Source organism: Homo sapiens, chromosome 8, assembly GCF_000001405.40.
Source record: "Homo sapiens chromosome 8, GRCh38.p14 Primary Assembly".
Taxonomy (NCBI): Eukaryota; Metazoa; Chordata; class Mammalia; order Primates; family Hominidae; genus Homo; species Homo sapiens.
Genome location: NC_000008.11, coordinates 54,823,027 through 54,845,795, shown reverse-complemented (window position 1 = coordinate 54,845,795; position 22,769 = coordinate 54,823,027). Strand labels below are relative to the sequence as shown.

The window sequence follows — 22,769 nt, the reverse complement described above, 5'->3', positions numbered from 1 at the left end:
GCAGGCGGCTGCCTCACCCACAGTCAGCCATCTGTCAGTAATAGGAAGTGATAATAAATTAGTTGAGCCAGGCAATTTTCCTTCTAGATTTAAGCAGCTATTGCCAGAGAAATGCCCTAAAAGGAAGCAATCTCCTCAATTTAGGATAATTTTGAATAAAGCATGAAAGAATATTTGGTAATTGTGTTATTAAGGTCACTTAAAGTTATCAGTGCTGTATCAGGCAATGGCTGTGTCTGCAGGACTCTCTGTAGCCCGAGCTGCCACTTCTGAGGGCACTGCTGCAGAAGTCCACTCATCCGTGCACCGGGCGTCTTGGTTTCCCTGCTCCTAACTCCCGTGTTCCTAGGGGCAGGGCTCATGTTTTTTCAGGTTAGAATCCCCAGCTCCTAGCATACATAAATATCTGCTGAATAAAGAAGTGCTCTTTCATCCATCCGTTGATGAGTCTTGTGCACCGTACTCTGCTAGTCGCCAGAGAACCACTGATCAGGTATGAATCATCTAAAGAAGGCAGCGGCTGCTCCTCACCCAGAGCTGCACCCTTTCTAGGCCACCTTCCCAGGCACTCTGCAACCCCAGCCCCAAAGTGCTCCTCCCCGATAGTCATTGGAACTTGTCTCCTCCTTCCTAACTTTGTTCTTGTTCCCCAGTTCACCCCAGGGGCCACCCAGCTTCTGGCCCTTTGGCCACATCTCCTAGACCCAGGTCCATATGTGTTAGTGGAGTGGACAATAGAATTTCGCTTCCCAGACTCTGACCGTCCCTAAGGAGTGCCATCCACCAGCCTGTGGAGTGACTGAAGAGGGGTGAGGTGGGGACCTAGTATGGTGAGCCCTTCATGCCAGACAGTGGGCTAGAGGAGCTCCCCCTAAGAGAATTCATTTAGAATGCCTCCTCATCTCCTTTACACAGAGTGACCCAGTGGCGCCATTCATTCTCCTTCCATCCAAACTATCCAAGATTTCTCAATCTCCTCAATCTGCTCGGGAAATATTCTCCATTTAACAAATCAACTATAGGATCACATAAGAATATCATTTTTCCAGCTGTATCCCTAATGTTGCAGACTCCTGTTCTCCTAACAATATGTATAGTTCATATTTTATTGGGAAACGATCTATGGGACTTTACCTAGAGAGATGTGCCCTTGTGCAAACATGTATGCAAGCATGTCTACACATGCACACACATACGCACACACAGAGGCAAGCATGTCTACACATGCACACACATATGCACACACAGAGGCAAGCTTGTCTACACACGCACACACATACGCACACACAGAGACAAGCATGTCTACACACGCACACACAGAGGACTCCACAACCTTTATTAGGGGCAAACAGCATTACACCCCAGTGAAATCCATGAGACCTTACATCTTAATTAGGACCCTAACCAGAAGATTCTCCACTCAGGTCCTTCTATAGGTTGGTGCAAAAGTAACTGCGTTTTTGCCATTAAAAGTAAATAAATTGAGGAGCTGAATAAATAAATTGAAGCTACATAAATAAATAAATTGAGCTAAATATTTATCTAGGTCCTCAATTTAGAGAAGGTGGTATGAAGGGTTCTTTGGGCCACCCGGGCTTCCAACTCTGTCCAGCTGGTAAATCATCCTGGGGCCATGCTCTCTCAGGACACTTTCTTTCATCTCGGGAAAAAGTTCTGAGCAAGTTTCAGGTTCTACCTACCTTGGTGGACATAACCAAATAACCATAAAGTTCAAGGAGAAGGCTAAAAGGCCATGAGCTTCTCACTGATGCCCTCAGCCTTATCACAGAGCACACAATATTGTTAGTCAACATGGGTATTTTTTGTGGAACCTTTCCTAATCAGAAAAAAGAGTGCAATTGTGTTTTGGGGAGTTCCCTAGTCCCTTAGTCTTAGCCATGAGGCTCTAAAGCGCCTAGGTAACACTAATGACTGCCCCAGGGACTCCTCAGGTGCCCCCTTTCCCAACAGCGGGCCTGCTTCCCTCTGCACCTGAGCCCTGCGATGCTGTGCAGGGATGGCTACCAGCCCCTGCAGGACTGGAGCAAGGGTGGGAACAAGGGCCCTGGAGCTCTGCAGTCAGAGCGACCAAACTTCCCGAAGATAAACCCCTAGGCTGAAGCTTCCCTTTGATTTAATTAATGAACCGTTTTAGTGCTTTCTCTCAGGTCACCAAGAATTAAGCTCTCAGAGCACTCATTGTGGTGAGATCACATTGATACGGCCCAAAAAAATCAGATCTCAGGAACAGATGGCAAATGAGATTCAGCGTTAAACATGTGCAGACAGTTCAGTTCCAGTCTGCACTGAAGGTTTGGGATCCAAGACCATATACGGCGGCGGTTTGGGGCTGCATCATCCTCTGCCTCTTGGTTGAACGTACATATCTGATTGTTGAAAAAGAAATACCTCTGGGCCGGGCACCATGGCTCACACCTGTAATCCCAGCCTTTTGGGAGGCCGAAGCGGGTGGATCACCTGAGGTCAGGAGTTTGAGACCAGCCTGGCCAACGTGGCAAAACCCTGTCTCTACTAAAAATACGTAAATAAATAAATACATACATACATACATAAATACATAAAAATACAAAAACTAGCTGGGCGTGGTGGTGCACGCCTGTAGTCCCAGCTACTCAGGAGGTTGAGGCAGGAGAATCCCTTGAACCCAGAGAGTGGAGCTGAAATTGCACCACAGCACTCCAGCCTGGGCAACACTCTGTCTCACACACACACAAAAGAAGTACGTCTGAGCCGTAGAGAGAAAAGGGATGCCACAGTTGGGAGGGGAGTGGAGTTTCTTGCAGTTCTACAGAAGGTTGCCAGGAAAGCAGCACTGGAAACGTCCCTTGGATCAGAGACCTGAGCACAGATGAAGAGCTGACCATGCAGAGGCCTGGGCAAGGCCTGTGGTAGAAGACGGGACAGAAAGGGCAGGGGCCTGAGGGCTCTGGGGATGCAAGCCAGAGCCACGAGGGAGATAGAGGCTGGAGTTGGGGGCAGCAGGTGGTGGCGGGACACAAGTAGGTCCTTGTAGGACATTGTGATGACTTTGGCTGTTACTCTTAGTAAGTTAGAAAATCTTTGGAGGGTTGTAAGCAAAGGAATGACATAATCTGATTGACATTTTAAGAGGGTCACTCTGTCAGTGGGGTTGAGAACAGCCTATACTAATCCCAAAGTGCTCTTTGTGATACCAGTGTTCCCATGATAACAGCTAAATGATGCAAAGGAAGGAGGGGAAGGAATGAATTTAGTGTAGTGAATGCCTCCTCTGTGATTGGCACCTATCGTGCTGCTCTGCCGTGCTCCTGGTGGAAACCCCACAGGAGTCCCATGGCCTTGGTTTGCCTAGAAAGGTCTTCACTGACACTGCTGTCCTGAAATAATGATTCAGAGCCCTTCTTTGCTCTCAAAAAGAGTGCTGGTTTCGATGGTGGATTAAATGGTAATCATTCTGGCAATAGATGTTGTATTTCCCATTTCACAAAGAGAGTAACAGAAACTCAGAAAACCTGGCCACTTGCCCCGATTCACATAGCCAGTGATGGAGACCTAGATTTGCCGCCAGATGCTGTGTATCTGAGCTATAGTTCTCTCGTGGATGAAAAGGTCTGAATCATTCTGAAGCCCATGTTTTCCCCTCACATATTGACGAGTACTGTGATAAAGGCTAAAGCATTAAAGAAAGCTTGTCCTTTTTTTAATTTAGCTCAGTTGTTATCTAAAACTTGCTATAGGTTGTCAGCAGGCATTTCGGCTTATTTTCTCATGACTTCAAGTTTCATAAATGCAAATATTTTGAAGTAGGCATATTTCAAATATGATGGTACTTTAATACATTCTCAGATGGTTATTTCTTGATTTGAAGTAAAGCCCTTCTGACCACTTGCCAAAGTCTGGCATCAAACATTTCTTCACCCATAGATGTGGCCTCGAACCTCACCTTCTTTTATCATCCATCTCTCCTGGAGAGAGCCTGGAGCCAGAATATGTGGCAAGGCCGCCTCGAGCTGAGTCAGCATTCTTATCAGCCCTAAGCATCACTGCCAGGCCGTTAACTAAAGACTCTTCAGGACAACAAGCCAAGGGCAATCGGCATCTCCTCCGGGCTGCTCCCAACCAACACCGCGGATGGTGAATAAATCAGAGAAAGGCATGAAACAAGCTGCATTTGGCAGTGCTGGCCTCTGGGAGGAGATCACTATAATCCCACCAGCAATGTAGCTCAGCCCCCAAAGAATGATGACTTATAGACTAGTAGTCTCAAAACACTTTTCTTTTGAAAACATTCCAGCAATCCTTTGAAAATAAAGACAATGTCACAAAATTAATCAGCTCAGAGTGTAAGTGCCAACTGCCTGGAAAACCACTCTTTTTGTGCTACTAAATTAAAAAGTACCCAACCCTCAAGTGCATCCCTAGGACTTTACCAGCATGGCAACTCCAAGATAAGTATAATAGCTTCATAATTTAAAAGTTTCTCCTCATCACTCCTTGTGTTTTTCCCATGGTCAGCTAGAGAATGCTCTGACAGAGGGACAGACAATCCCAAAATATTGAAGGTCAACATTTCCTTCCTTCTCTTCTCAAAGCCAAATCAAGGAAGTATCAGTTCATTGGTCTGAAACCACTGTGGGCTTTCCTTGATGTCATGGGAATAATAAATGAGCCTCTGGATGGCACCAAGATGATTTTCCAAAAGATGGTACTCAGCATGCCCAGACCACTCCTTACCCACCCATGAGTTTTGGTCTCTGTTTAATTCCTGAATATTGGGGTGTTATTTTTTTCATTTTCTTGTTTTAATGTTTTCCCCCTAAATGTGCAAATATTTAATCTGGGAAAGGGGCAACTGGACTGATATGTCAGAGCCTGAGAAAAATGAGAAAACTTAGTCAGATTAGCTGTAAGTATCATTATTACATTATATTCTTCTGCTGGAGAAAATACCTTAAGAAATGGTTAGTGTGCTTCAGCTAAGAAATTACCCCCTTTAAATGGGAAATGCTAATGGATAAAGTTTCATTAGCTAGTCTGGAGAAAGGATGAACAGAAAGATGCAGGGAAGACATGCTGAGCCTTTATTGCTGCTCAAGTTAAATGGACCCAAAATCAATAGCTCATTTAAGATACAATGAAGTTTCTCTTGGACCTCAAATTAAAAAAAAAAAACACAACTGCCTTCCACATTTTTTTTTTTTTTGCATGTAACAAATGTGCTCCGATAGAGGTAACTGAAAGAAATACAAGAGTTGTATAACAGACTTTAAAGTTCACTTTAAAATAATGCAGCCTTGGGCAGATCACCTGAGGTCAGGAGTTCGAGACCAGCCTGGCCTACATGGTGAAACCCTATCTCTACTAAAAATGCAAAAATTAGCCAGGTGAGGTGGCTCACACCTGTAATCCCAGCTACTCAGGAGGCTGGGGCAGGAGAATCGCTTGAACCTAGGAGGCAGATGTTGCAGTGAGCCGAGATCATGCCACTGCACTCCAGCCTGGGCAACAGAGAGAGACTCCATCTCAATAATAATAATAATAATGCAGCCATTAAAAAAATAACAAATTAAGAAATATCTAATATAGCACACCATCAGAGTTCTTCTGTTTCTTATCAGTACCATGGATTTCAATATTTTTTTAAACATCATTTTTCAAAACTAGAATGAATTATTGACATGTTAGCAATGAGGTGAATAGAATAGATAGGTCCTGAGACATGCAGGGTAGAAACCAAAATTCTAAATCTTTTAGGACCCCTTCATTTTTCCCACTTCATCATTTTCTGGGCATCCCTGGATACCACTGCCACCTTCACATGACTGCAGAACAGCTACAAAGAACCATTAGAATCAGGAGCTTTATGATGTGTTAAATGAAATCTTATATGAGAGAATGTTTTTGCAAACTGTCAAAATATATACAAATATAAAGCATTAGTATTATTCTACATTTATCATTTCATTAAGCAGGACTTACCCCAAATCTTTCTTGCTGTGTCTGAATTAATCAACTAGTATCTGGGGGCACGTACCCATGTGTTCTGTGCCATTCTAACAGAGATTGAGAGTATGTGGGATGGAGTACCAGCTGGGATATAAGGCTAATCAAGGAGATGCTGGTGGAGAGAAGCCCAGTTCCTCTGGTAATTGTTGAGGAAATCAGCAGGAGGTGAAGGGCAGGGACAGGGAGGGTTCAAAGAATCACTGAAATGCTGAGCAAAGATTTCCAGGGGCTACTGAAAAGAAGGAACTGATGAGGGGCCAGAAGAGGCGGAGTCATTAGACTGAAGATGGTAACTATGGCCATGAAGACAGAACGACTTCTAAAGAACAGGACCCCTATCCGAATCATCAGGATTTCCTCTGGTGCTCATTACTCCTGGCTCACACCAGCCACCTGAGACCTGTTTGTAGGCATGTGTTTACCCTTATCTGCGTGGAATGGTTGAATGAGTGGGTATTAAAGATGATGGGATGGTAAACACCTAATGGAGCACTGGGGCTCTAGGCAGGAAAGAAGACAGGACTGAAGATGAAAATGTGTCATTCTTTTGTGTAGAATTAACAATAGAAGTTAGAGAGAGGCTCAAAGGGGAGTAAAGAATCAAGCATTTAAACCCACCTGTTCAAGGCAAAATGACCAAGTAGGGCCAGTAATATAAAGAGAAAAACTTGGATGAAACAGTCAAAGAACTAGGCTGGTACCACGTGATGAAGGTCAAGGTTGGAGAAATATTTAATAATGATGATGATGGTAATGGCTAGTATTTCTTGTGGAATTATTGTATGCTAAGAACACTGCTGTATACTGTAAGTACATCATCCTAAATATTATAAATGCATTATCTCATGTACTGAAAACAATCCTGTGACATAAGCTCTATTTATCACCATTTTACAGACAAGGCATTCTTGGCTAAGGGAGGCTAAGTAGCTTGCATGACACAGCCAATCACATCACCAAGCCAAGACTTGGTTCCAGAGCCTCTAAGAACCTCTGCCTCCTTAAATGAGAGATCATGAGTATTAGTATCAAATACAACAGAGAGATTCAGGACACTAAGAATACACACACACACACACTCATACACACAGACTTTTTCACATATGCATGCAGGAATATGCACACACACGTATACACATATACATAGTGTCACATGCATGCACACACTCATACACATATACACACATGCATACATTCAGTCACGCACATACATATATAAGCATTCATGCACATACATTGAAACACTCACATGCATACATTCTGTCACGCACATACATATATAAGCATTCATGCACATACACTCAAACACTCGCATACACACAAACACATACATGCACACATATACACACACATATACACAGTAATTTCATTCCGAACAAAGAGGCTATCAGTATCCATTGAGAAATAAGGTTTTCTCTCCAGTGGTGGAAGCAAAAAGAAGGTAGTTATTAGAGATACCAGGAATGGACAGAGAGAAAATTAAGACATTGGGTGAGTTTGCTTTCAAGCAAAAAAGAAAAAATACTCAGTAAAGGAATTCAGGTGCTACAAAGTTCATGATTGCTGACATTTGTTAACATAATTAGCTAAGAAGAAAGTCACATCTAAATGGGTAGCAAAGCAGATTACAGAAAGATGAGCTGAACACACACATCTATTCTTGGATATATATTGTCACCTCTGAACAGACATACTGGTGTTAATCCTAATGTTCTAAATCAGGGGTGGGCAAACAACTTGCGGCCCGTGGGCCAAATCTGCCAGCCACTTATTTTTGTACAGTCCAGGAGCTAGAATGCTTTTGATTTTTCTTAATGATTGAAAAAATCAAAACCAGAATACTATTTCTTAACAAATAAACATTATATGAGACTCCAATTTCAGAGTCTACACATAAAGTTTTATTGGCACACAGCCACATCATTTGTTTCCATATTATCTATATCTGCCACGTCACTACACTGGCAGAGTTGAGCAGTTTTGGCAGAGACTTTATAGCCCACGAAGTGTGAGATATTTACTGTCTGGTCCTTTACAGAAAAAGGTGCCAGCCCCTATTCTAAATCATCTCAATTATTTTAATTTTCAATACACATCACAAAGGAAATGAAATTATATACCTGGCAAAGGTGCTTTCTTTGGTCCCATGATGGGTATTTCCTTCCATAGATCGCCATCATTTTCATTCTCAGCTATCCAGGAATCAACAGGTAAACAAAATAGCTCATATGTGGCTATATTTTCAAGTCTAACTTCTTCCAGATACCACCTGGGATTCTTTCCAGTGTTGTCATGTCCAATACGTATTTTATAGATTTCACCAATATCTTTGAGATTAATCTGCAACACAAAGGATAAAAGGGAACTAAAACTCCCTACATCTCCAATTTCCAAATTCATATTCCATTTTGAACTCACTACTTACTTTTTTATCATAAATACTCCTTACTAATTTCCCTTAGAACCAGTTACTTCTAACACCATGAAATGCTGTTCTATATGGTGAAGCATGTATCCATTGACCATGGAAAAACCAATAAATTAAATCCAGCTAGTTTTCATTACATCCTTTCTTTTAGCAACTCACCATTACTATCTTGCAATATGCATATTTTATTGTAATTATTATCACACACTATTCATTCAGTGGGTAGACCTGAAGAATAAGACAATCCTATGCTCTGGTGTTATTAAGATTGAATTTTCCCATTACAGTGAGATCCTGAGGAAGAGACCATATGTACACCTAGATTTAAACTAGGGTTCACGCTGTGATTCTACAGAAGTGTTGGTAACATGATTGTATTCCTTTGCACCCCCCAGAACACATAATTATTCAGTATGACAAATATTCTAAGGTATTATTTATTATCCAGAATAAGCAATATTTTTCTTTTGAAAATTCCTACAGGGGTCATATGAAAAAAAATTGATCAATTATGTACTGCATTAGTTTTCTATTTCTGTTGTAACAAATTACCACAGACTTAATTACTTGAAATAAGACCCATTTATTGTCTTCCAATTCCATGAGTCAGAAGTACAGGCACCATGTGGCTCAGCTGAGCCTCTACTTAAGACCACCCAGTCTGAGATCAAGGCACTGGGTGGGCTGGACTCCTCTTTGGAGGCTCTGGGGAAGCTTCCGCTTCCAAGCTTATTCACGCTGTTAGCAGGATCCTGTTCCTTGAGGCTGTAGGATTGAGTTCCCTGTTTCCTTGACATGTGGCCCTCTGAATCTCCAAGTTACCAAGGGCACATCAAACCCTTCTTACGTTTGGAATTTCTGCTACCATTGGGAGAAAAATGTTTGCTTTTAGAGGCATGTATAACTTAGAGTAGGCCCAACTGTATAAACCAGATTAATCTTCCTATTTTAAGGTCAGCTAATTAGTAACCTTAATTACGTTCTGCGAAATCTATTTGCCATGGAACATAACATAGTCATAAGATTAACACCAGGGCCAAAAATCATGAGGCCAAAATTCTGACTGCCACATACTATAATTAGAAACCATTTAATCTGCCTTCTGATATTTCATCTGCCCTAATCCCCACAATGACCTGCAACATCTTTTCTCCCTTTGGTATTACCATAAATGGTCTCATCATCACAGAAATTACACCCGTTATCCAGACCTGCTACCTTTTTCTACTAAAATATTTTTCTTGATAATATAACCTTGGGTTGTCATATTGGTGATAATTGTTCTGAATAAATTCTGTCCTGTAGCCAAAATGCTCTCTAGTCTGGGTGCACAGAGACACAGTTCATCACAGTCAAGCTAAATAGCTGGTCCCCCTCCTATTATTTCTAGAACAATGTGATTATAGGAATTCTATCACGTAGAAAAAATGTTAACATTGGTGCTTAGTTCAGATAAGTACAGGACTCCTAAAATCCCCCTTAAAGTTGCTGATAGAAGGAATATGATAGAAATCAGTAGCCAAGCTCCAAAATGCACCCTAAGGCAAAATAACATGGTCTCTTCATAGAAATATGGAACCTCAGGTTTTGATATCAGACAGACCTGAGTCTGAAAGTTAGTTGCTTGTACCCTGGCTGGCTGTGTGAACTGCAGCAAGTTTTTCAACCTCTCTAAGCTTCAGTGCCCCCATCTGAATACTACAATAGTACCAATCTTACAAAGTATGATAGAAGTCAATAAATATAGCAGCTATTTTTTTTATGAGTCAGAATTTTGTATTAATAACAAAAATAAGTGGTCTAAATATATCTAATCTAAAGACAGGACAGAAAATGGGTCCAAGCACTCACAGAAGGAAATTAAAACTAAGTTTGGCCATCATAAATGAAATTAAAATTGATAAACCCTGTGTCTAATTCTGTTGGTAATTCACAAATATTCTTGTAAATAATAACTGAATAGTGTCATGGCATAGCAACTAAATTACCCATAGATTGTGCATGCCTGGGTTAGCCAACTAGAACCAGAACTGAAATGACTGTACTACAGCATGGCTAGTGCTATAGACTGCTTCCAAATTGCTTCTAATATATTAGTCAAATTAGTTTGGAACTTAGTTCTGGTTTAATACATCAACCTGAGTCACTTCAGTTTTAATGAAATAAAAATGTAATATGCCTAGAAATTTTTCTTGCATATAACTGTTTTTGGTTTTCTACATTTAACTTCCTACATTTGAAAACACACAAAAAAAGGACAGTGACTCCAAAATGTAGGATTTTTCTAACCAGGATACCCTAAACCCACATGAAACTGTAGTATTTTTTCAATAAATGGTAAATAAGTTATTTTTAAAACTTAAGTTCTAGGAGCAAATTTCATGTTGTGCAAAGTCTGTATCCTCTGTTTAAGACACTTTCATATGTTGGAGAAAAACATTGGAACACCAATTAGCTTTGTGATCACTGAATTCAATCTGGGACATTTTATCTTAACTCAGCATCTCAAGTCATCTAGGACAGTTCATTTTACATATTGATTGCCCTTCAAGGAAATACTATAGCTTTCAACTCAGGGCAGGAATGTAGAAGTATAAACTAAAAACTTGAGTTCTAACAAGTTAGAAACACTAAAAATTATTAGGGTAAATTTTAAAAGGAAGCAACACCACAGGAAAAAAAAAAACTCCCAAAGCATAGACAATTTGTTATATTATACAACATGAAAAATGATACTCTTCTCCTCTACACATCCTGGGTAAAAATTTCTTATTAAAGAACTGGAAAATAAAACTTTCCTGGCTTAATGAGTAAATGATACTTAGATTTTTTTTAAAGGCTACAAGGGCTTTATGGCCTAGAGTATTCAGGTTTCCTTCTGAAACTAAACAGGGGTCCTTGGTTTAAAAAATGCTTTATTCTTTAGTCTTGGTGTCATTCACAAAGCTGAATTCAAAAGCCCTTTCCTCAAAAATCTTAAAAGGCTTCAAGAATCTAAGTGATCTCAGGTTCTAGTGGGTTTTTCCCTGCACAGAATATCATATTCTCCTACTCCGGAACCCCTGACTCTGACCTTGACTTTCAGAGGGAGCAGATTTCTCACGCATTTGATTATCTAGAGTTATGATGCCTCTGAAGATTTAGGAGCTACTAGCTCTAAATAATTCTGGGTACCTTAAATACCCTTGTCTTACTTTCTTGAGAAAATTTAAACTTAAGTCTTAAGTTTCAGTCTTACGTCTTTAGTCTTAAGTCCTTTGTTCATTTTTAGCATTCCCCACTAGACCCTTAACTCCTTGAGGATCTGAGCTCTGTCTTTCTTTTCTTTACCCTTAGTATTTACACAAAATTTGGCAGAGAATAGACTGCTTTAAACATATGTTAAATAAATCATATAGCTGTTGATTTTTTTTCATTTCATGTGTTTCCTTCGTTCTCTTTGGCTTCTATCAAAATTTTGGTGGGCATAAAAATCTGATAATAATTTGCAAAGTTTTGATGATGTGTTATAACAGTCTCCTTATAAGTATCTGAGCCCCAGTAACTGGGAAAATGTTCTTATTAATACTTTGATGCTTGTGTGTGTATTTTTTTAATTTAACAATAACAGTTTGTAATCCAATTAGTTGCTATTTAAATGAATGAACAATATGGCTTATATTTCATTACGAAGTCTATATTTTCAACAGTGAATGATTTCTATTGGAAAACAAAGTCCTGATATGTTTTTGAAGGAGTTGCGTGATTAAGGTTAAAGCCAAGGTCCCCTGATATGGATCTTTAACTTTTTCTAACATAGCAGTCATATTTCTCCTGGATTTTGAAGTAAATCTTGATACATCTTGGCAAAATATAAATGGATTGTAATCAATTCTTCATGTAGTTTCCACTTTTATTCTAGAAGGGTAACTTATTTTGACCTAACTCTCTAGCAACAACAATAATAAATTCTGCTTGAGGGCGCTGTAAAACAAACAAAGCAGGCAGAGAAGCCAGGGATTTGACCTTAAATGAGGGAGAAAAGACCTTACCCTTGAAAATAGCCAATATCTATATTTGTATAGCTTTTTGCATGAGGGCATTTCCAATTCTATGAGAAACAACAAGGCTAAAACTCAAGCAGAAACACACAGTCTAATCTTCTGAAGAATGGGCAGAATGAACTTGGAACTAATTTGGAACTACCAGAGAAGCTGGAAATTAAGAGGGGAGATCCCAGAAAGGAGGGAACAAAAGTAGGTGATACAAATCTGCATGTAAATGCCAGTCAAATCCTAGACCAATGACTACACTATTCACATGCAGGTATGACTGCAAGGAGCTCAAAGAGAAAACAAGTCAGAAGGCTAAAATAACTGAGTGGCAATTCTAGCTGTTACTTACCACAAGTGACTTTAGAAAAAGACTTTAAAGTTTGAGTTACACCAAGTTATAAAAGCATGATAAATTCCCAAGGCTTTCCATCAAATCCCTAGAAGTACCATGCATTAGAAATGACAACTACATCTCTTTACTAAAAAGATTCTCTCAAGACTAAGGATAAAGCTGAAATAGCCCTGTCCTAACAAGGCATAAAAACAAACCCCTACATTCGAGGTGATCCACAAATTAACAGCACTCAACATTCTTCAGAAGAATATAACAGAATACAGAGTTACTGCACTATTATCCACAAGGTCTAGTATGCAATCAAAATTACTAGACGTATGAACAAACTGCATAATGTCAATAAAAAAAGGAGTTAATAAAAATACACCTGCAAATAACATGGATGTTGGAATTAGCAGACAAGGATATTAAAATATAGTAAATATGCCATATAATCTACAGGAAAAGAGGAATATAATGAGTAAAGAGATAAGCATTGTCAAGTGCTATCTAGAAATTATATTAAAAAAGTGAAAATCCTAGATCTAGAAAATACAATAAGTGAAATAATAATTAATGGAATAAAATAACCAATTAGACACAAAAAAGTCAGTAAACTTGAAGACAGTTAATAGAAATTATCCATATTGAAATAATTAGTAAAACAATTTAACAGCATCTCAGCAACCTATGAGACAGTATCAATTAAACTAACATATATATAATTAGACTCCTGGAAGGAAAAAAGAGATTGAATAGAGAAGAAAAAATACTTAAATATTTATTGAAATTTTTCAACTTTGGTGAAAAACAGCAACCCACAGAAAAAGCAATCATAGTGAATCTCAAGCAAAATATATATAAAGAAAATCACACCTAGTAAGATCATAGTAACTGATGAAAAGGAAAGAAAAATTCTTAAAAGCAGCCAAAGAAAAATACTATTTTTATATAGGAGAATAGTAGTAAGAATAGTGGCTATTTTTGCTTTAGAAATAACGCAGGCCAGAATACGATAAAGCATCTTTTAAGTTCTAAGAACAAATGAACATTGTCAAACTGAAGTTTCATATCTAGCAAAAAATATTCTTTAAAAATGAAGGTAAAATGAACATCTTTTCATTAAAAAAAGCTAAGAAAATTTATAACTAGCCAACTTGTACTACAAAAAATGCAAAGAGAAGTTCTTCAGGTTTAAGAGAAATAATACAAGATGGACATGTAAATGTATAGCAAAAAAGGAGGAGCATGGATATAGTAAATATACTATACATAAAAGGGTATATATAAACCACAATTTTTCTTCTTTTATTAAATTTTATGCAAATCAATGGACTGTTTAAAGCAAATATAATGAGGAATAGGATGTTTTATGTTTTATGGGGTTTGTAATATATGTAGAAATAAAATACATAACAGTAATAGCATAAGGGGTTGAAGGGATATTAATGGGATAGCACTTTTTAAAGTTTACTCTATGTGATAAGAATGCATATTGTAATGTGTACAAAAACCACCAAAAACAAAAAACAGGCACAGGTAATAAGCCAAAGGAGAAGATACTATTGAATGTTAAAAAAAAAAAAAAAAAAGAAACAATAGGTTATCCCAAAAAAGAGAAAGAAAGGAGAAACAAATTAATACAAGATTGAGATATCCAGAATATATAAAGAATTCTAAAACAACAATAAGGTGCAGCCACTATGTGAAAACATTTGGTAGTTCTCATCATGTTAAATATAGTATTACCATATGACCCAACATTCCACTGCTGGGTATATACCCAAAAGAATTGAAAACAGGCATTCAGACAAATACTTGTACATAAATATTCAGAGCAACAAAGTCTATGCAGCCAAAATGTGAATACAAACCAAATGTCCAACAATTGATGAATGTATCAACATATTGTGATATATACAAACAAAGGAATATTATTCAGCCATAAAAAGAAGTGAAGTACGGATGTATGCTTCAACATGGATAAAACTCAAAAAACATGATGCTAAGGGAAACAAGTCAAATAAAAAAGACCATGTACTCAATGAACCCATTGATATAAAATATCTAGAAATAGTTGAAGAGGCAGAAAACAGATTACTGGTTGCCAGCTCTGAAAGGGAGGGGAGAATGGAGAGTAATTGCTGAATGTGTACAGAGTTTTTCTTTTGGCATGATGAAAATGTTTTGGAACTAGACAGGGTAGTGGCTGCATAACATGAACCACTAAATGTACTAACTGCCACTGAATGGTACGTTTCAAAACGGTTAATTGTATGCTATGTGAATTTCAACTCAATTTTTTATAAAAGTAAATGGATCCAACTTTTTATTTAAATGGCAGAGATTATCAGACTGGATTTAAAAAGTAACATCTAACAATATGCTATATATAAAAACTGTACTGTATAAAGATACAGACAGCTAAAAAAGGAAAGGATGGAAAAATGAGATACCAAGAAAACACAAAGCATAAGAAATCTGCATCTGTATATTAACATTAGATAACAGTGACTTTAAGAATAGAAATGTCACTAGAAATACAGAAGGTCAGTGGGGGGAGGGAGTAGGGATAGCATTAGGAAATATACCTAATGTAAATGACGAGTTAATGGGTGCAACACACAAACATGGCACATGTACACATATGTAACAAACCTGCACATTGTGCACATGTACCCCAGAACTTAAAGTATAAAAAAAAAAAGAAATACAGAAGGTCATTTTATGACAAGAGTCAATTCAGCAAGTAGATATAATAATCTTCAATGTGAAGGTACCTACTAATAGAGCTTAAAAACAGGAAGAAAAAACTTGATAGAAATAAAAGGGATAGACTAATACGCAATCATATTTGGCGATTTTAACATCTTCTCTCAATAATTGATAGATATTTACAAAAAATAAGTAGGAATATAGAACACTATCAATACTATCAACCAACTTGCCCTAACTGATATTCAGAGTACATTATATCCAAAAGCTTCAGAATACATACTCTTTTTTTAATTCTAAGAACATTGAGATGTGTAGCTTTTCCAAATTAAATGGATATAAAATTTTAATTCAGAGAAATTTATACTGGTTTATGGGAGAAAGTGTTGTCCTTTCCCCCTCCCCAGAATCATTCCACATGATCTATTCATATAATTCTTAGTAAATTTTTGATCAAATAATTGAGAACTCCAGTGACTTTTCTCACCAGATAAGGGAAAAATCTAGTGAATTAAAGTCTCTCTGCTTATTTATCCAAATGATTTTTTAATATTTACTTGGTTCAGTCAGTTCTTAAGAACATAGACATTTGTTGATCTTTCTGTATTTTTTTGGAATGATCATAGATATACCAGAGGTAAAATGGTGTCAAATACCTATCCTGAACATCCAGAGAGCCTCCTTATATTCATCTAGAACCCTGATTATGTAATTCCATCATAAATATATCAAAAGTCAGATGTTCTCTCCATGTTCTGTCTCCTCCAAAAACATACTTGTGATTCTTCTGCTTTGTACACTTTATTAATATCATTAATATAAATTTTTATTGATTGTATTTATAATGGATGCTTTTATTTTCTGGTTTCATCTAATTCTTTAATTTCTCAACAAACCGTATTTTTAAAAATATATGCTCTATTTCCCAAAGTTCCCATGATGTTTTGGAAAACTTTTTGGTGGAGCAAGAGCATATGGCATTAGCCATTGGCAGGAAGCAGAGGCAGGTTTACCATGAAGGTTTACATTTCAAGCCCAGCAAAACCAAATCCACTTCCTATCTAGAAATTATATATAGTCATGCACTGCATAACAACATTTGGGTCAATGATGGACTGCATATATGCAGTGGTCTTGTAAGATTATAATGGACCTGACAGGAGTTTGAGATCAGCCTGGCCAACATGGCAAAACCCCGTCTCTACTAAAAATACAAAAATTAGCCCGGCATGGTGGTAGGCACCTGTAATCCCAGCTACTCAACAGGCTGAGGCGGGAGAATCGCTTGAGCCTGGTGGGGCAGAGGTTACAGTGAGCCGAGATCGCACCACTGCACTCCAGCCTGGGTGACAGAGCGAGACTCCATCTCAAAAAAAAAAAAAAAAAAAAAAAAAAAGAAGAAGAAGAAGAAAGAAGAAAGAAGAAGAAGAAGAAGATTATAATGGACCTGAAAATTTTTTATTGCCTAGTGACATCGTAGCCGTCATAATGTCGTAGAGAACACATTACTCACGTGTTTGTGGTGATGTTGGTGTAAACAAGCCTACTGCACTGCAAGTCATATAAAAGTATAGCACATACAATTATGTACAGTACATACTTGATAATGATAATGTCATAGTCTGTTGGTGTTGTTATAAAGGAATACCTGAGGCTGGGGAATTCATAAAGAAAACAGGTTTATTTGGCTCCTGTTCTGCAGACTACACAAGAAGCCCAGCACTAGCATCTGCTTCTGGTGAGGGTTTCAGGAAGCTTCTACTCCTGGCAGAAGACAAAGAGGAGCCCTGCCGAGATCACATGGTAAGAAAAGAAGCAAAAGAGAGAGGGGGAAGGTGTCAAGGTCTTTCTACCAACTAGTTCTCTTGAGAATTAAGAGCAGGAACTCACTCACACTTGAGAGAACGACACAAAGCCATTCATGAGAGATCCACTTTGATGACCCAAAGACCTCTCACAGGCCCCATCTCCAACCCTGGGGGTCAGATTTCAACAGGAGGCTTGGTGGGGCCAAACAAATCATTTCCAAACCATAGCAGATAATAAATGACTATGCTACTGGTTTATATATTTACTATGCTGTACTTTTAATTATTATTTTAGAGTATATTTCCACTTATTTTTTAAAACTAACTGTAAAACAGCCTCAGGCAGGTCCTTCAGGAGGTATCCAGAAGAAAGCATCGTTATCATAGGAGATGACAGCTCCATGCATGTTTTTGTCGCTGAAGACCTTCCAGTGGGACAAGATACAGAGGTGAAAGATGGTGATATTCATGGTCCTGACCCTGTGTAGGCCTAGGCTAATGTGTCCATCTATATCTTATTTTTAACAAAAAAGCTTAAAAAGTAGAAAAAAATAATTACTACTTTTTTTTTTGAGACGTAGTTTTGCTCTTGTCGCCCAAGCTGGAGTGCAGTGGTGTGATCTCAGCTTACTGCTACCTCCGCCTTCCCGGTTCAAGCACTTCTTCCGCCTCAGCCTCCCGAGTAGCTGAGATTACAAGCGCCTGTCACCACGCCTGGCTAATTTTTGTATTTTTAGTAGAGACAGGGTTTCACCGTGTTGGCCAGGCTGGTCTGGAACTCCTGACCTCAGGTGATCTGCCGTCTCGGCCTCTCTTAATTACTTTTAAAAATAAAAAATGTAGCCTGGCACAGTGGCTCACGCCTGTAATCCCAGCACTTTGCGAGGCTGAGGCAGGAGGATTACTTGAGCCCAGGAGTTCAAGACCAGCCTAGGCAACATGGTTAAACCCCATCTCTAGAAAAACATTTAAAAATCAGCCTGGCATGGTGGCACGCACCTGGAGTCCAGCTACTTGGGAGAAGGCTGAGGTGGGAGGATCACCTGAGCTTGGGAGGTGGAGGCTGCAGTAAGTCACGATTGTACCACTGCACTCCAGCCTGGGCAACAGAGTGAAATCTTGTCTAAAAAAAAAAAAAAATACACTATAAAGAAAATATTTTTGTACTGCTGTACAATGTGTTTGTGTTTCAAGCTGTGTTATTACAGAAAAATCAAACAGTAAGCTAAGGTTACTTTGTTATTGATGAAAGAAAAATATTTTTTATAAATCTAGTGTAGGCTTGGTGTCCAGTATTTACATAAATTGGTGTACAGTAATGTCCTAGGCCTTCACATTCACTCACCACTCACTCACTTCCTCATCCAGAGCTACTTCCAGTCCTGCAAGCTCCATTTATGGTAAGTGCCCTGTACAGGTATACCATTTTTTATCTTTCATATCATATTTTTACTGTACCTTTTCTCTGTTTAGATACGTAAGTCATTATCATTGTGTTACAAGTGACTACAGTACTTAGTAGTACAGGTTCAAGGCCTAGAATCAGTAGGCAATCCCATATAGCATAGGCGAGTAGCAGGCTAGACCATCTAGGTTTGTGCAAGTGCACTCTATGATGTTTACACAATGACAAAATTACCTGTGACATATTTGTCAAAGGTATCCCCATCATTAAGCAAGGCATGGCTGTATTAAACTTTGAACATGAAGCAGGAAAAGTTTAATGCAGATCCTTTTAATGGTCTTTTTTGTAAATATTTTGTAGGGTTTGGATTGAGTGACATATGAGGACTTGGCAATTCTCTTCAAGTTTGTAAAATATACATTACATTGGAGACTGAATTTATGATTGGATTATTTGATGTAAAAAATATTTCTGCAATTTTCATAGGAGTTTAAACTTTGCTGTAATACTTAAGCAACTCATGTTTATATTGATGACAGAAATTCTTTATAATGGTTATTCTCTAAAAACTGAAACAACTTGTATCTTCAAAGAAATATCATGGAACAAAGAACTCCACAGTAGGCAAAGCTAACAATTTCAATTATGCATAGACTTCTGTGGTTAGACAGAAGATAAATCAGTGCTATCCCTCAAAAGCATTCCTCCAGGAGGTGGCAATGATAATGCAGACAATGTGGGGGGCACAGCCATCTACATTATTCTCCAAGTACTGCATCAAGGACTTGTCTTTCTGTTCATGATGCCCTTCCTTTACATTTTTGCCTACAAAAATGTTTCTCACTCTTTAAGATTCTGCTCAAATGCCAGCTTCTCAAATGTGGTTGCTTATCCCACGTGTTTTAAACCTGAGTCAATTGTCAGGCTAAGCTGCCTTTTTCTCTAGTCAACCATCTCTTATTACAACTTTTTTTGCTTTTTGTTTTTGTTTTTAATTTTGAGTCAGGCTCACTCTGTCACCAAGGCTGGAGTGCAGTGGTTACAATCCTGCTTCACTGCAGCTTCCAATTTCTGGGCTCAAGTGATCCTACTGCCTCAGCCTCCCAAGTAACGAGGACTACAGGTGCAAGCCATTGCACCAGGCTGATTTTTTTTTTTTGTGGAGACAGGGTCTTGCCATGTTGCCCAGGCTGGTCTCAAGCTCCTGGCTTCAAGCATTCATCCTCTGCTCTGCCCCCCACAGTGGAATTACAGGCATGAGCCATCCTATTTTATCTCTTATATAGCTCAAGCAAAATATGTAAAGGAAAACTTGATACAACTAAAGAAAAATAAACATATCCACAAGTACTGTTGGAAACCACAACATCCATCTCTCACAAATTAATAAAACAACTAGACAGAAAATCATGAAAGATATAGAACTAATACCAACAACCAGCAGGGTCTGATAGACATGTATAGAACACTCCACCTAACAGGTAAGAGTTGTCTGTCATATACGTAGTTTGCAAATATTTTGTCCCATCTGAAGTGTGTCTTTTCATCCTTTTAACGAGGTTTTTCACATATTAAAGTTTTTAATTCTGATGAAGCCCAATTTATCACTTTTTTATTTGATGGATCATGTTTTTATGTCTAAAGACACAATAATACGTGCCCAAGAACTCTAATCTCTATGCTTTTTATTTCCTGAACTTTTACCACTGTATTGAATAAGAACGTTGAAGGCAGGCAGTTTTGCCTTGCAAAACTTTTCCATTAGGAAAAAAGCATTCAGCTTTTTGCCATTAAGAATAGTGTTAGCGACCTGGCACGGTGACTCACGCCTGTAATCCCAGCACTTTGGGAGGCCGAGGTGGATGGATCACGAGGTCGGGAGATCAAGACCACCCTGGCTAACACAATGAAACCTCGTCTCTACTCAAATTAGCCGGCCGTGGTGGCAGGCGCCTGTAGTCCCAGCTACTCGGGAGGCTGAGGCAGGAGAATGGCGTGAACCCGGGAGGCGGAGCTTGCAGTGAGCGGAGATCGCGCCACTGCACTCTATCTAGCCTGGGCGACAGAGCGAGCCTCCATCTCATAAATAAATTAAAAAAAAAAAAGAAAGAAAAAGAATAGTGTTAGCTCTGAGTATTTGTAGATGCTCTTTGTCAAGTTGATATTCGCATTTTTTCTGAGAGTTTTAAAAATTATGAATGGGTGTTGAATTTTGTCAAATGCTACTTCTGCATCAATTAACATGATCATACAATTTTTCTTTCTTAGCCTATTAATATAACAGGTTACAACTGACTCATTTTCAAATGTTTAAGCAAACTTGTATGCCTGGATAAATCTTACTTGGTCACGGTATATAATTCTTTTTTTGTAGGATGCTGAATTCTATTTGGTAATATTTTGTTAAGGACTTTTGTATCTATACTCATGAGGAAAATTAGTCTGCGGTTTCCCATTTTTGGGGATGTGTTTATCTCGTTTTAGTGATCAAGGTAATAATGGCTTCATAGAATGAGTTAGACAGTATTCCCACTTCTGATTTCCAGTAAGGACTGTGCAAAAACTAATAATTCTCTAAATATTTGGTAGGATTCTCTAATGAAACCATCTATGGGCCGACAGATTCTTCTCTGGGAGTTTCTAAATTAAAAATTCAATTTCCTTGCTGATTATAGGGTTATTCAAATTATCTACTTCAATCTATTTCATATTGGGTGAGTTGTACTCGTTTGTTTTTTTGAGGAAGTGATCCATTTTATCTAAGCTGGCAAACTATGGGTAGAATTGTTTGTGGTGTTCCCTTATTTTCTTTTCAACGTCTGCAATATCTATAGTGATAACCTCTGTTTCATTTCTAATATTAGTAATTTATCTTCTCTTTTTTAATTTGTTAGGTTTACTAGCAGCTAAAAGCTCAATATTAAAAAAAAAACACACAAACAATCCAATTAGAAAATGGGCAAATGATATAGAGATATTTTACCAAAGAGGATGTATGGATGGCAAATAAGCATATGAAAAGATGTTTTGCATTAGAGAAATGCAAATTAAGACCACAATGAGATATCACTGCACAACTTTATTAGGATAGCTAAAATAAAAGTTTAGTGACTATCAAATGCTTGCAGGGATGGAAAAAAAAATCCAGATCTCTCATATGTTGTTGATGGAGATAAAATAGTACAGTCTGGAAAATACTTTGACAGTTTCCATAATACACTACCATACAACCTAGCAATTGCATTCCTGGGAATTTATCCCAGAGAAATGGAAAACCATGTCCTCACAAAGTCTCATACATATTTATTTTAGCATCTTTATTTATAACAGCCCCAAACTGGAAATGAGCAAAATGTCCTTCAATAGGTAAATGGTCAGACAAACTGCCATACATCCATACCATAAAATATTACTCAGCAATAAAAAAAAGCAAACTGGCTGGGCATGGTGGCTCATGTCTGTAATCCCAGTATTTTTGGAGGCCAACGTGAGTGGACCACTTGAGCTCAGGAGTTCAAGGCCAGCCAGGTCAACATGGTGAAACCCCGTCTCTACTAAAAACACAAAAATTAGCTGGTGTGGTGCCACAAGCCTGTAATCCCAGCTGCACAGGAGGCTGAGGCACAAGAATTGCTTAAACCTGGGAGGCAGAGGTTGCAGTGACCCAAGGTGGCGCCACTGCACTCCAGTCTGGGCAACAGAGGGAGACTCCATGTCAAAAAATAAAAAAAGAAGAAAACAAGACTGCCAGTCTCAAAAGGTCACATGCTACATGATTCCAATTATATAACATTCTAAACATTATTGAGATATAAAAGAGAAGCATGTTTGCCAGAGATGATAGTAGGCAGGGTGGAGGTGGGGGAGCTGTGACTGTAAAGGGACAGCACCCACCGGGGAGGGCTTTCTCAGGATGGAATAGTTCCAGATCTTCATTGCAGCTGAGGGGGCGGCGGGGAGTCACACGAGTGCTATACACCTGATAAAACAACGTAGAACTATGCACACACATTGTACTAAGGCTTAGATACTGAACTAT

At 38.5% G+C, this 22,769-nt stretch overlaps 1 protein-coding gene across 6 annotated transcripts in view; it reads right to left on the bottom strand.

Moving 5' to 3' along the window:
- The window catches only part of RP1 (RP1 axonemal microtubule associated), a 312,050-nt gene that overhangs the window by 25,439 nt on the left and 263,842 nt on the right, over positions 1–22,769 (bottom strand). For all 6 annotated transcript variants that reach the window (XM_047422069.1, XM_047422070.1, XM_047422071.1 and 3 more), the window contains one exon: positions 8,127–8,346. In XM_047422069.1, coding sequence (XP_047278025.1) covers positions 8,127–8,346 — 220 coding nt within the window. The remainder of the gene's footprint in view (positions 1–8,126; positions 8,347–22,769) is intronic.